The sequence below is a fragment of the Homo sapiens genome, chromosome 4 (genome assembly GCF_000001405.40).
Source record: "Homo sapiens chromosome 4, GRCh38.p14 Primary Assembly".
Taxonomy (NCBI): Eukaryota; Metazoa; Chordata; class Mammalia; order Primates; family Hominidae; genus Homo; species Homo sapiens.
The window spans coordinates 283,461-296,439 of record NC_000004.12 but is presented as its reverse complement, the minus strand read 5'-3'; the positions used below and the strand labels follow the sequence as shown (position 1 = coordinate 296,439).

General features: G+C 37.9%; 1 protein-coding gene across 1 annotated transcript in view; it reads left to right on the top strand.

Moving 5' to 3' along the window:
• ZNF732 (zinc finger protein 732) overlaps positions 1-12,979 on the top strand; it is a 34,800-nt gene that overhangs the window by 9,035 nt on the left and 12,786 nt on the right. The window contains exons 2-3 of the mRNA NM_001137608.3: positions 285-411; positions 907-1,002. Of these exons, the coding sequence (NP_001131080.1) occupies positions 285-411; positions 907-1,002 (223 nt within the window). The remainder of the gene's footprint in view (positions 1-284; positions 412-906; positions 1,003-12,979) is intronic.

Genomic DNA, 12,979 nt, shown 5'->3' with positions numbered 1-12,979 from the left:
GAGAGCTGAGTTAAATCTTTTTTTCCAGGAGGTCACAGGGCCTACTCTGCTTGGTTTTGGTAGGGGCAGGTCAGTGTAGCCCGTTATTTTTATTGCAGGAACAGAAACTGTTGGAATGCCATCCTTTTTCTGCAGAGCTATAGAATACTTTAGAGAACATTACTGTGTTGAAAGTTATTTTATCAGATAATCTCAGTCAGTCACATGTCAGAACTAGTTCTCTTAACTCATTTCACCTGTAGTCAAATTAAGAACTCTGTCACTTGATACATATATATTTTCAGGAACTCTTAACATTCAGGGATGTGGCCATAGAATTCTCTCCAGAAGAGTGGAAATGCCTGGACCCTGCCCAGCAGAATTTGTATAGAGATGTGATGTTGGAGAACTACAGGAACCTGATCTCCCTGGGTGAGGATAACTTCAGTAAATAATTCCTAATACTCCCTCAGGGAGTTTTATTTTCTATTTTTGTAGAATGTCTCTTGGGAACCTTCTGCTTTGTGTGAATTTCAGTTTCTTTCTTCAAGAAACTGTTGGGAGTTTGCTGGTGTAAAAAAGAATATTAAGATGTTTTATCTTTACGTAAACCTTCTCTTTTCTTGAGCTAATTTGTGTCCTCCATTTTAGGTTAGTGGTAATTCTCGAAATTCAATGACATAAATTATTGTTTCCCACATCTTAAAATACAATTTGCACCGCTTATTTTGATTCAGTAGTACTTGGTAGTGGAACTTAGAACCCACAGATTTAAAATACTTAAATATTTTAAAGATTCTGCCAGGAAACAATTTTTGGATTAATTATGTAGGATCTTCCATAATTTCTCTTTTCTACTTAGTATAGTATTAGGTAGGTAATTGGAGAATCCCTAACAGTAGCATGTTAATTTTTTAAAATAAACAGGTGTTGCTATCTCTAACCCAGACCTGGTCATCTATCTGGAGCAAAGAAAGGAGCCCTACAAAGTGAAGATACATGAGACAGTAGCCAAACACCCAGGTAGGTGACAGTGAATGAAGGAGAGGACACAGGCCAGGGGACCAAGGTCCAGAAGGAAGCTAGGCCTTAAAATGTAGTTTGGGAAGCTCTGCTCCAGTGAAAATAATTTCTGAAAAGGCTGCATTTTTTTCTCATATTCATGAATAGGGGCATCTTCTGTCCCATGCTGTTAAATCTAAGAATTCTCTTTTTTCTTTAGTGATCTCCCTTCAAGTTTACAGGGAGAGCCAATGTCCACTTTATCGTTTATTAGGGGCTGCATGATCTGACTGCTGTTCCATTGCATTTGGAGACATAGGAATATGTGTATATTGAGGAGCTCTATGTCAGTGTATTTTTTTCAAATATTCTTTTTGTACATGTCTAAAATGTGCACGGTGAGTAGTGGACATATTGGAATTTGGTTCAGAAATCCCAAGAACATCAGGGACAGATGTTGCGTCTTTTCTGCTTAGTGATTTTTAATCCTATAGAGGTTGCAAATATAATTCTACAAAAATTATTACTCAGCAATTTTATCAGAACAATAGGCATTTTCCTAAATATGAAAAAATGTAATGTTACTTCAGAATGTTATCGTTTTAGTATAAACTGAGATTTGTGATTTAAACTCTGTATGTGAAAATTTTCAAATTATAATATAGTTTAAAGCACAGGTTTCCAACCTTTTGGCTTCCTTGGGCCACATTGGAAGAATTGTCTTGAGCCACACGTGAAATACATTAATACTAATGATAGCTGATGAGCTTAAAGAAAAAGGTTCGTGAATAAGTTTTGTGATATCCACCACCTTAGATAAGCAAAAAAGCCCTCTCATTCAAAGTTTTGGCCCCCACTGGATTAAAGTGTTTACTCACCTTCTAGATTTCTTAAATGTTCTATGTCATTAACCAGCTTAGAACATTGCTAATATTAAGCGCTCAATCATTACCTTATTTCTTAATAACTATTATAATTTTGTCTTATTTAGTAGGAAGCCTGAGATTCTGTCATTGACGTGTATCTGTATCTATATAAAAATGTGTGTCTCTCACACACACCTAAATAAGTTATATATGTGTATAATAAACTCTTACATTGTTGATAGATTCTTGGAAACGAAGTGAAGCAACGTATCATTTTAGAAAGCGTATTTTAGGGCTGGGTGCCTTGCCTCACGCCTGTAATCCCAGCACTTTGGGAGGCTGAGGTGGGTGGATCACGAGGTTAAGAATTCGAGACCAGCCTGGCCAACACGGCAAAATCCCATCTGTACTAAAAATACAAAAAGTTAGCTGGGCATGGTGGGGGGCGCCTGTAATCCAGCTACTTGGGAGGCTGAGGCCGGAGAATCACTTGAACCTGGGAGGCAGAGGTTGCACTGAGCTGAGATCATGCCATTGCATTCCAGTCTAGACGACATGAGCAAAACTCTGTCTCCAAAAAAACCAAAACCAAACTAATTTTACCAGACTTTAATTGACGTAAACAAGAGTTATGTTTGGTATATAGTAACATTGCTTCATTTATAGTTGCAGTTTTCAAGAATCTGTTTTTTACATTGAGTACTTACTATATATCTGTGTTTGCGTGATATGAATTTTTCTGATAAATAAAAATAGTATAACTATATTTAATATTTACAATGTAATGATATGCACATATTTTATAATTGATATGCACATATTTTATTGTAAAATATAGTCAAGTTGATCAACACATCTATTACTCAAATAGCTAACCATTTTTTTTGGTAATAAGAACACTTAAGGCCTACTGTTGTAGCAAATTGTAAGCATACATTATAGTATTAACTATAAACAATGCTATTTTGCTAATCTAATGCTATTGTACATTAGATTTCTCAGACTTACTCAATTTATAACTAAAAATTTGTACTCTTTGAAAACATCTCCTCATGGTCCCACCCTTAGGCACCAACAACCACCATTCTACTTTCTGCTTTTATGAGTTGACATTTTTAGATTCCCTGTCTAAGTGAGAAGAAGCAGTTTCTTTGTCTCTCTGTGTTTGGCTAATTTCATTTAGCATCATTTCCTCCAGGTCTATCCAGGTTGTAAATGGCTAGATTTCCTTTTCTTTTATGGCTGAATAGTAGTCTACTGTGTGTGTGTGTATATATATATACACACACACACATATATATATATATATACACATACATATATACATATATATGTGTATATATATATACACACACACACCATATTTTGGCTATTGTAAATATACTACAGCAAACATGGGCTGAAGATATTTCTTCAAGGTGCTAACTTAATTTCCTTTGGTAGTGTACCCAGAAGTGGTATTGCTGGATTATATAATATTTCCATTTTTATTTCTTACTGGTTTTTTTTTTTTTTTTTTTTTTTTGAGATGGAGTCTTGCTCTGTTGCCCAGGCTGGAGTGCAGTGGCGCGATCTCGGCTCACTGCAACCTCCGCCACCTGGGTTCACGCCATTCTCCTGCCTCAGCCTCCTGAGTAGCTGGGACTACAGGTACCTAACACCACGCCTGGCTAATTTTTTTTTTTTTTTTTTTTTTTTTTTTGTGTTTTTAGTAGAGACAGAGTTTCACCATGTTAGCCAGGATGGTCTCGATCTCCTGAGCTCGTGATCCGCCCACCTGAGCCTCCCAAAGTGTTGGGATTACAGGCGTGAGCCACTGCGCCCGGCCTTTTTATTGTTTTTTATGATGACTTTATCAATTTACATCTCACCAACAGCATATAGCACTTACCTTGTATGTATGTCTTCTTTGGGGGGAAAAAATCTAACCTTTTGCCTATTTTTGAATGGCTTATCATCATTATTGTTTTGCTTTGAATTGTATAAGTTTCTTATACATTTCGGATAGGGATATTAACTTTTTTTTTTTTTTTTTGAGACAGAGTTTTGCTCTTGTTGCTCAGGCTGGAGTGCAGTGGCATGATCTCAGCTCACTGCAACCTCTGCCTCCCGGGATCAAGTGATTCTTCTGCCTCAGCCTCCCAAATAGCTGAGATTACAGGCATGCCCCACCATGCCCAGCTAATTTTGTATTTTTAATAGAGACGGGGTTTCTTCATGTTGGTCAGGCTGGTCTCAAACTCCTGACCTCAGGTGATCTGCCCGCCTCGGCCTCCCAAATTTTTTATCAGATAAATTGCTTGCAAATATTTATATCCTGTAGGGTTTTTAGAAATTTTGTTTTCTTTTCCTTTGCTGTGCAGAAGCAGTTTACTTTGATACAATCCCACTTGTGTTTTCTTTTGTTGCTGTGCTTTTGATGGCATATCAAAAAAGTTATTGCCAAAGCCAGTATCAACAGGGCTTTTCCATATATGTTCTTCGGGAGTTCTAAGGTTTTTTATCTTATATTGAAGTGTTTCATTTTGAGTTAATTTTGGGGTATGGTGTAAGAAAATGATCTACTTTTATTCTTTAGCTTGTGGATATCCAGTTTTTCTGGCACCACGTATTGACAAGAGTGTAATTTCTGCATTGTGTGTTCTTGGTTCCCTTGCCAAAATTAGTTGACCTTGTATGCATGGATTTGTTTCTGGGCTATTCTGTTCCATTGGTTTTTTTATATCTGTATTTATGCACATACCATACTCTTTTGCTTACTATAACCTTTAAATAAAGTTTAAAATTAGAAGGTATGATGCCCCTCGCTTTGTTCTTTCTCAAGATGGCTTACGTTATTTAAAATTGTTTAAGGTTACACTTAAATTTTACAATTGTGTTTACTATTACTGTGAAAAACGCCACTAAAATTTTGATAGGGATCACATTTGAATCTACAAATCACTTTCGAAAATATACTTTGACAATATCTGTTATCCTGATGGAATCTGGTTTTATCTATTTGTGTCTGCTTCAGTTTCTGTCATCATTTAGTGTCTAAATTTATTGTTATACACTAGATTTTGTATCTTGTATTTAGTGTGTAAATTTTTTATTTCATTGGTTAAATTTATTTTGAATTAATTTCTTATTTTTATAGTATTGCAAATTGAATTTTTTTCTTTTTTTGGAAATTTTGTTACTTTATGGAAATGAAACATATTTGTATGTTGGGCTAGGTATATTGGTTCCTTTTTGTAATTCAGCACTTTCAGAGGCCAAGGCATGTGGATCACTTGAGCACAGGAGTTCGAGATGGGCCTGGGCCTTGTAGTGAGACCTTGCCTTATAAACACAAACCAAGAAACTACCTACAGATATTTGTATGTTGATTACGTATCCTGATACCTTAATGAGTGCCTTTATTAGTTCAGTTTTTGTTATTCCACTCTAGGGTTTCATATATATGCATGATCATATTATCTACAAACAGTAACATTTTTACTACTTTTGCAAGCAGGAGAGCTTTGTTCTCCTTTTCCTTGCCTAATTGTTCTGGTACATTTGGTAATATGTTAAGATAGAAGCTGTGGTCCTGGAAGCATGCTTGTAGATCTGGGCCTCAGCTGTGGTCCCTGAAGCAGCCCTGTGTCTGTATATTTTAAGGATTTAACAATGATTTACAGTTTGTATAATCTATTTTTTGGCAGGTAAACATCTCCTTTTGTTGGGTCCCCAGGCTGATGAGACTACCTCTGGGTTTGCAGAGAAGGGTTGTAGCTGGGTCACAAGGGTGCTGCTGGGTCTGCTGTGCATTGTGTCTTTGATGGTTGTGTTGCCAGAGATTTGGACAGTTATGGATTCTTCTGGGCCCTGAAAAGATTAGATTTCCTTGAGGACATTAATCTATATGGCAGGTTGTAGGCTAGGGTTTTGAAGTTTGTCTGTATATGATGGCCCAAATAACAGGTGTATGAATGGGTTTGGCTTCTGCTGACTACCTGGGAACAGTTTTTACAGGTCTCTCTGTGAGCCTCTGAATGTGTACGAATGGCCACAGACTGTGACTACATATGGCTAGAACTGAGTCACAGGGCTGCTTCAGGGACCACAGCTGAGGCCAGGATCTGCAGGGCTGCTTCAGGGACCACAGCTGAGGCCAGGATCTGCAGGCCTGCCTCCAGGGCCATTGCTGGCTGTGTCTTCCTGCAGGTCTCTTGATGGGAAGGACCACTTCTGGACTATAGCTGAGATTGAATTTGAGAGAGGTTACAGAACTATTTTTGGAATCCTCAGTAAGACCAAACTCTGTGCATAATTTCCTTGTCTGTAGCTATGTCTATGGGCTCTTGAGTTGGCCACCTGGTGAGGGCCTGCTTTTTCCAAGTAACCCCCCTTGATCTTTGACTCCACTGAGGTTTCACAACCCTAACTATAGGCAAGCAATTTTCTACTTATGTTTTGTAGGAGTTTACTAAGTAAAATACCTTATATAAGTGGAATCTTACACTGTCACTTCGTTAGTGTTTTATTTCACTTAAAATAATGGCTTTAAGATTTATCCATATTGTAGCATCTGACAAGATATTTTCATTTTGAGTCTAAATAATTTTTCATTGTATGTGTAAGCCACATCCTTTTAAATTATTCAACTGTTGAAGGATGTTTGAGTTTTTTCATGTTTTGGCTTTTGTAAATAATATGGCTTGGATCTGTGTCTGCAGTCAAATCTCACATCAAATTACAAGCCCTCATGGAGGTGGGCCTGGTGGGAGGTGATGGGATCGTAGGGTTGGCTTCTCATGAATCGTTTAGTACCATCCCCTTTGGTACTGTCTTTGCCATAGTGAGTGACTTCTCCTGAGATCTCATTTTCTTTCTTTTTATTTTTGATAGCTTATCCATTGCAGTTCAATCTAAAAGTGAAATTTCTACAGAAACACGAACTATTTTAACAAAGAAAAAAAATCCCTCATTCAAAATTCTTTGTAGTGGTAATGGCTGCAAATCTGCAGCATTTAGAAAACTATGCTAACAATAAGCTTGCTTTATGAACTGAGATGTACAAAATCTAGAAAGCAGGTGAAAGTGAATTATTTCTTCAACATTTTAGTAAAACTTCTGGTAATCAGAGTTCAAAGCAAATATGGCACATAACAATTCAAGCATAAATCAAGATGGAGAGCCTGGAGAGTTTGATTTCTTAAATTTTCCAAAAAGCTATCATTGCAACATGTAGGATTTCTCCCCTATTTTAACCTTACCAGTTTCAAAGGAAAGTAAAAGGAGTGGATTACATGTAGACAGCATGTGCGCGAGCGCACACACATGCAGGGTGGCAGGTAGAGTGTCTAATTCCTTCTTCCTACTACCCAAGTCTCACTTCACAGAAATCATTAGGTAAAGGAAAACCAATGAGGAGTTCTGCAGTTTTCTTTTAATAACTAAAGAGATCTCATTTTCTAAAAGCAGCTTCTTCCACACACTTGCTCCTGCTTCTACCATGTGAGATGACTCACTCTTGCTTGGCTTCCTGCCATGATTGGAAGCTTTTTGGGGCCTCCTGAGAAACAGAAGCTGCTATGCCTTCTGTACAGCCTGCAGATCCATGAGCGAATTAAATCTCTATTTAAAAATAAGATATCCAGTGTCAGGTATTTATAGCAATACGAGGATAAACTAATACAGTGAATATTGTTGCAATAACATGGATGTTTTGGGTTTCAAAACCCTGTTACATCACTGTGTTAGCCAGGATGGTCTCAATCTCCTGACCTCATGATCAGCCCACTTCCGCCTCCCAAAGTGCTGGGATTACAGACATGAGCCACTGCGCCCAGCCTACTTTTTGGAAAAATATTTTTAAAAATTCTTACATTTACATAGAATTTCAAGGACCATCATGGCCCAATCTTAGAAAATAAGAACAAAGCTAGAGGCACAACACTTCTTGTTTTTAGAACAGAATACAAAGCTACATAAATAAAAACAGTGAGGTATTTGCAGGAAAACAAATAGATGATAGAACAGAACAGAGAACTCAAAAACTAACCATCATGTATATGCTCAAATGATCTTCAACAAGGTTGCTATAACCATACAATAAGAAAAAGACAGTCTCTTTAATAAATGGTGTTGGAATACTCTGTATCCACATGGGAAAAATTGAGGTTGGATCCTTCCCCTGAACCATGTACAAAAACTATCTTGAGTGAGTTAAATATTGAAATGTAAGAATTATAACTTTACAATTTTTAGAAGAAAATATAGGAATAGAGACTATGACGTTGGTCTCAGCAATGTTTTCTTACATATAACATCAAACACATGAGCAACAAACTTAAAACCACAGAAAAATGAGACTACATTAAATTTATCTCTGCACATTAACAAACATTAAGAGTCCCACCTAAGAAGCACAAAAGCAAAAAAAATTAAAAATTATGTGTTTGACAAAAGTTAACATTCAGAATAAACAATTCCAAAAAATCAACAAAGAATAACATGATTAACAAATAGACAAGAGATGAAAATGTTTCTCCAGAGATGAAATACATATAACAATTATTGAGAAAATTTCTAATTTTTAGAGTAATGTAAGGCAAAACCACAATAAGGTTATTGTTGTGCATTAATTAGGATGGCCAATATAAAGCAAAAAAAAAATGTTGTAAAGAATGTAGAGAAATTGAAACTCTTGTGCACTGTTGGTGGGGAAAAAGTGATGCAACCACCTGAAAAAAATGTATGGAGGTTCCTCCAAAAACTAAAAATGCAGTTATTATATGAGCCAGTAATTCTACTTCTGAGCACCTATTCAAAATATCCAAAGTATATCTGAAGGCAGGAGGCTGAGGCAGGAGAATGGTGTGAAACCGGGAGGCGGAGCTTGCAGTGAGCCAAGATTTTGTCACTGCACTCCAGCCTGGGGTGACAGAGCGAGACTCCATCTCAAAAAAAAATATATATATATATTTTTCAAACAGTATCATTTGTGTTTTCATCAGGATTACATTGAATTTGAATATCACTGGGTAGTATTGTCATTTGACAATATTAAATCTCCTGACATAAAGAAGAGTATGTTCAAGAGTGTGTTGGCCACGTGCGATGACTCACGCCTGTAATCCTAGCACTTTGGGAGGCCGAGGCGGGTGGATCACCAGAGGTCAGGAGTTCGAGACTACCCTGGCCAACATGGCGAAACCCCGTCTCTACTAAAAATACAAAAATTAGCTGGACGTGATGGCACACACCTCTAATCCCAGCCACTCGGGAGGCTGAGGCAGGAGAATCACCTCAACCCGAGGGGCGGAGGCTGCAGTGAGCCGAGATCACGCCATTGCACTACAGTCTGGGCAACACCAAAACTCCGTCTTTAAAAAAAAAAAAAAGTATGTTAAGTTTCACATATTCTTGGATTTGGCAATTTTGCTTCTGCTTTTGATTTCTAGTTTTGTTTTGCGACGGAGTCTTGCTCTGTCGCCCAGGCTGGAGTGCAGTGGCGCCATCTTGGCTCACTGCAAGCTTCGCCTCCCGGGTTCACGCCATTCTCCTGCCTCAGCCTCCTGAGTAGCTGGGACTACAGGCGTGCACCACCACGCCCAGATAATTTTCATATTTTTAGTAGAGACGGGGTTTCACCATGTTAGCCAGAATGGTCTTGATCTCCTGACCCCGTGATCCGCCCACCTTGGCCTCCCAAACTGCTGGGATTACAGGCGTGAACCACAGAGCCTGGCCGATTTCTAGTTTTATTCCATGTGGTCTGAAAGGAGGTATTGTATAATTCAATCTTTAATGCATACCAGGCTGAATACCTTGATGAGAAATAATCTGTACAACAAACCTTTATGACACAAGTTTACCTGTATAACAAACTTGCACATATACCCCATCCTAAAATAAAGTTAAAAAAAGAGTTGTTTTGCATTCTAACAGGTTGTCCATTAAACAACAGCTACTCATTTTCTTCTGCAGTTAACCCCTGTCACAGTTTAGTCTGTTTCTAAGCATTTAACTACTTTAGATATCTTACATAAGTGGAATTACATAGCACTTGTCTTCTTGTGCCTGGCTTCCTCCACCTAAATAAAGTCTTAAAAATGTATCCTCATTGTGGATATAGAAAAACTTTTCTGCTTTTAAGAAGCTGAATAATATTTATTTGTATATTCAAAATTGTCTTTATTAAGAAAAGTTTTTTTCAGTTTTGTAGATGATGCCACAATGAATATGGATGTGTAAATTACTCTTCATTTGATAATACATGCAAGGGATTATTTACATGTTCTTCTGTTCACTGTCATTGTCTTTTTAAAATCTAGTTATAAACTGTTTCAATAACTATAGCTTCATAATTAGTTTTTAAAGTAATGATGTATGATGCTTCTGATGTTTCTCTTTTTGACAATTCTTGAGCACTTCTGGTCTCTTTAATTCTGATAAAATTTCAGGATTGCTTGTTATATTAATGCAAAATATGCATAGCTGCTGCAATTTAAAGTATACCACCATTTCCTTCAGCACTTTTTGTCAGGGGAGACAAAACTCATCTTCGCACAGTTCCCCAAAAACCAGAAATGTGGACACATATCCCACTTTCTTTCTCTGCTGAGGAAGAAGCATAGAGTTGGGAGTTCCTCCTGGTTGCACCATGCCTAGGCAATGTGGTGAAATCCCATCTCTACCAAAAAATAGATAAACATTAGCCGGGCATGGTGGCATGCACCTGTAGTTCCAGCTACTTGGGGGCTGAGGCAGAAGGATCGCTTGAACCCTGGGAGGTTGAGTCTGGCATGAGCTGAGATTGTGTCACTGTACTGTAGCCTGGGTGACAAAGTGAGACATTGTCTCAAAAACACATAAAGGTATCACAGCAGCCCTAGTTGGAGGGAGACCGTGGGTCTGTTGGAGAATGGAGAGTTTAAAATTTTGCACAGAAGCTGTCACACTGTGAATCGTCTTGTGATTCTAGGTATCCTCCGGGGGTGAGAGGGGACTGAGTACTCAAAGGGAAGGAGTTCTGACTCCTTTTGCTATAAAGTGATTTCTGCACATTCACACACATGCACGCTAGGCAATGGTGTGGCCACACTTCTCCCATGACAAAGCTTCATTCTCAGGAATTGTACTGAGAGCACCTCTGCTTCTAGAGTTTTCCAATAATAGGACACATAAGTGCCCAGAAGACTCATGGGTTCTTTCTACCACTCAGATCTTCAATCTGCACCAGTAACCTGTTTCCTCCAGTAGCCTAGGCTTCTGGATCACCTGACCATCTTATCTCCCTGCACACACACATTCATAAGTCAGAGCTGCCTGCCTGGGCCAGTATCTATAGCAGTAACCAGTCCTTTCTCCACCTGTGCACTGACCCTCACTCTTGGGTTCTTGATAACATCTTTTCTTATTCTGCATTTTTTTTTCCCTCACAAACACTCTTTCCTGTGAACATAGTATGCCTCAGGTCACCCTGCAGGTGCCTGAATCCAGGCCCTGCTGGAAATCAGATGTCCGTGAGTTCTAGGCAAAATTGTTGGATGTGGTTATTGTAAATATAAATGTAAAATAGAAACAGACTTAATCCTCCAGCTGGAAAAAAGGAAAAGTATTTACTCCTTCCTTTTCTTAAAATATTTGACTTAGAAAACTTTTATATGTAAATTCTTTCTCTGCCTTTTATCTTTTTTGTTTTTTGTTTGTTTCTTTTTCTTCTTCTTTTTTTTTTTTTTTTTTTTTTTGAGACAGAGTCTCACTCTGTGGCCCGGGCTGGAGTGCAGTGGTGTGATCTTGGCTCACCACAACCTCCGCCTCCTGGGTTCAAGCGATTCTTCTGCCTCAGCCTCCCGAGTAGCTGGGTTTACAAGTGCCCGCCACCACGCCCGGCGAATTTTTGTATTTTTAGTAGAGACTTGGTTTCACCATGTTGGCCAGGCTGGTCTTGATTGCCTGATCTCGTGATCCACCCGCCTCAGCCTCCCAAAGAGCTGGGATTACAGGCATGAGCCACTGCACCCAGTATTTGTTGTCTTCTAAGTCTCTAATTTGTTTCTGTTCTGTTTTTTATTATTTTCTTTATTATCCTAACATTGAGATTATTGTTTTTCAAGTTATTTAAGAATTAAAGTTACAGTGTTTGAGATTTTTTAAATATAAAATTATATTACTATAACATTCTGTCTTGGAACTGCTTTTGTTACATTCTACTTTTGATATGTCCTATTTCTATTTTCATTTGTCTCAAGATACTTTCTGATTTTTCTTTTCTTTTTCTTCTTTGACTCATCAGTTGTTCAGAAGCATGTTGTCTAATATACACATATTTGTAAGATTTTCAATGTTCACTCTGCTATTGATTTCTCATTTATAAAATTGTAATTTAAAAACTTGATATGATTTCAGGCTGGGCTCGGTGGCTCATGCCTATAATCCCAGCACTTTGGGAGGCTGAGGTGGGTGGATCACGAGGTCAGGAGATCGAGGCCATCCTAGTTAACAAGGTGAAACCTTGTCTCTACTAAAAATACAAAAAAATTAGCCGGGCGTGGTGGCGGGTGCCTGTAGTCCCAGCTACTCAGGAGGCTGAGGCAGGAGAATGGCGTGAACCCTGGAGGCGGAACTTGCAGTGAGCCGAGATCGCACCACTGCACTACAGCCTGGGCGACAGAGCAAGACTCCTTCTCAAAAAAACTAAAAAAAACACAAACAAGTTGATATGATTTCAGTCTTTTAAAAAATGAAAAGACTTGTTTGTCTTTGTTGTGGGCCAGATTTATGATGTATGCTAGAGAATATTCCATGTGTGTTTGAGAAGAATATAAATTATTCTTTTGGATGAAATGTTCTATATATATGTCTTTTGGTGCAGTTGTTTTATAGTGCTATGCAAGCAATTGTTTTCTTACTAACTTTCAGTCTGAATGATGTATTAAGTAGGGCAATATAGTCCCCCAGTATTATGTTTTTCTGTTTCTCCATTTCTTTTAATATATGTTTATATATTTATGTGCTCCAATATTGGGTATATATATATTTTTAATTGTTATATTCTTTTGACAGATTAGCCTCTTATCACTATATCATGAAGTTTTTTTTTTTGTGGCAGATTTTTTTTAGAAGTCTATTTTGTCTGATGTAAATATAGCCACTTC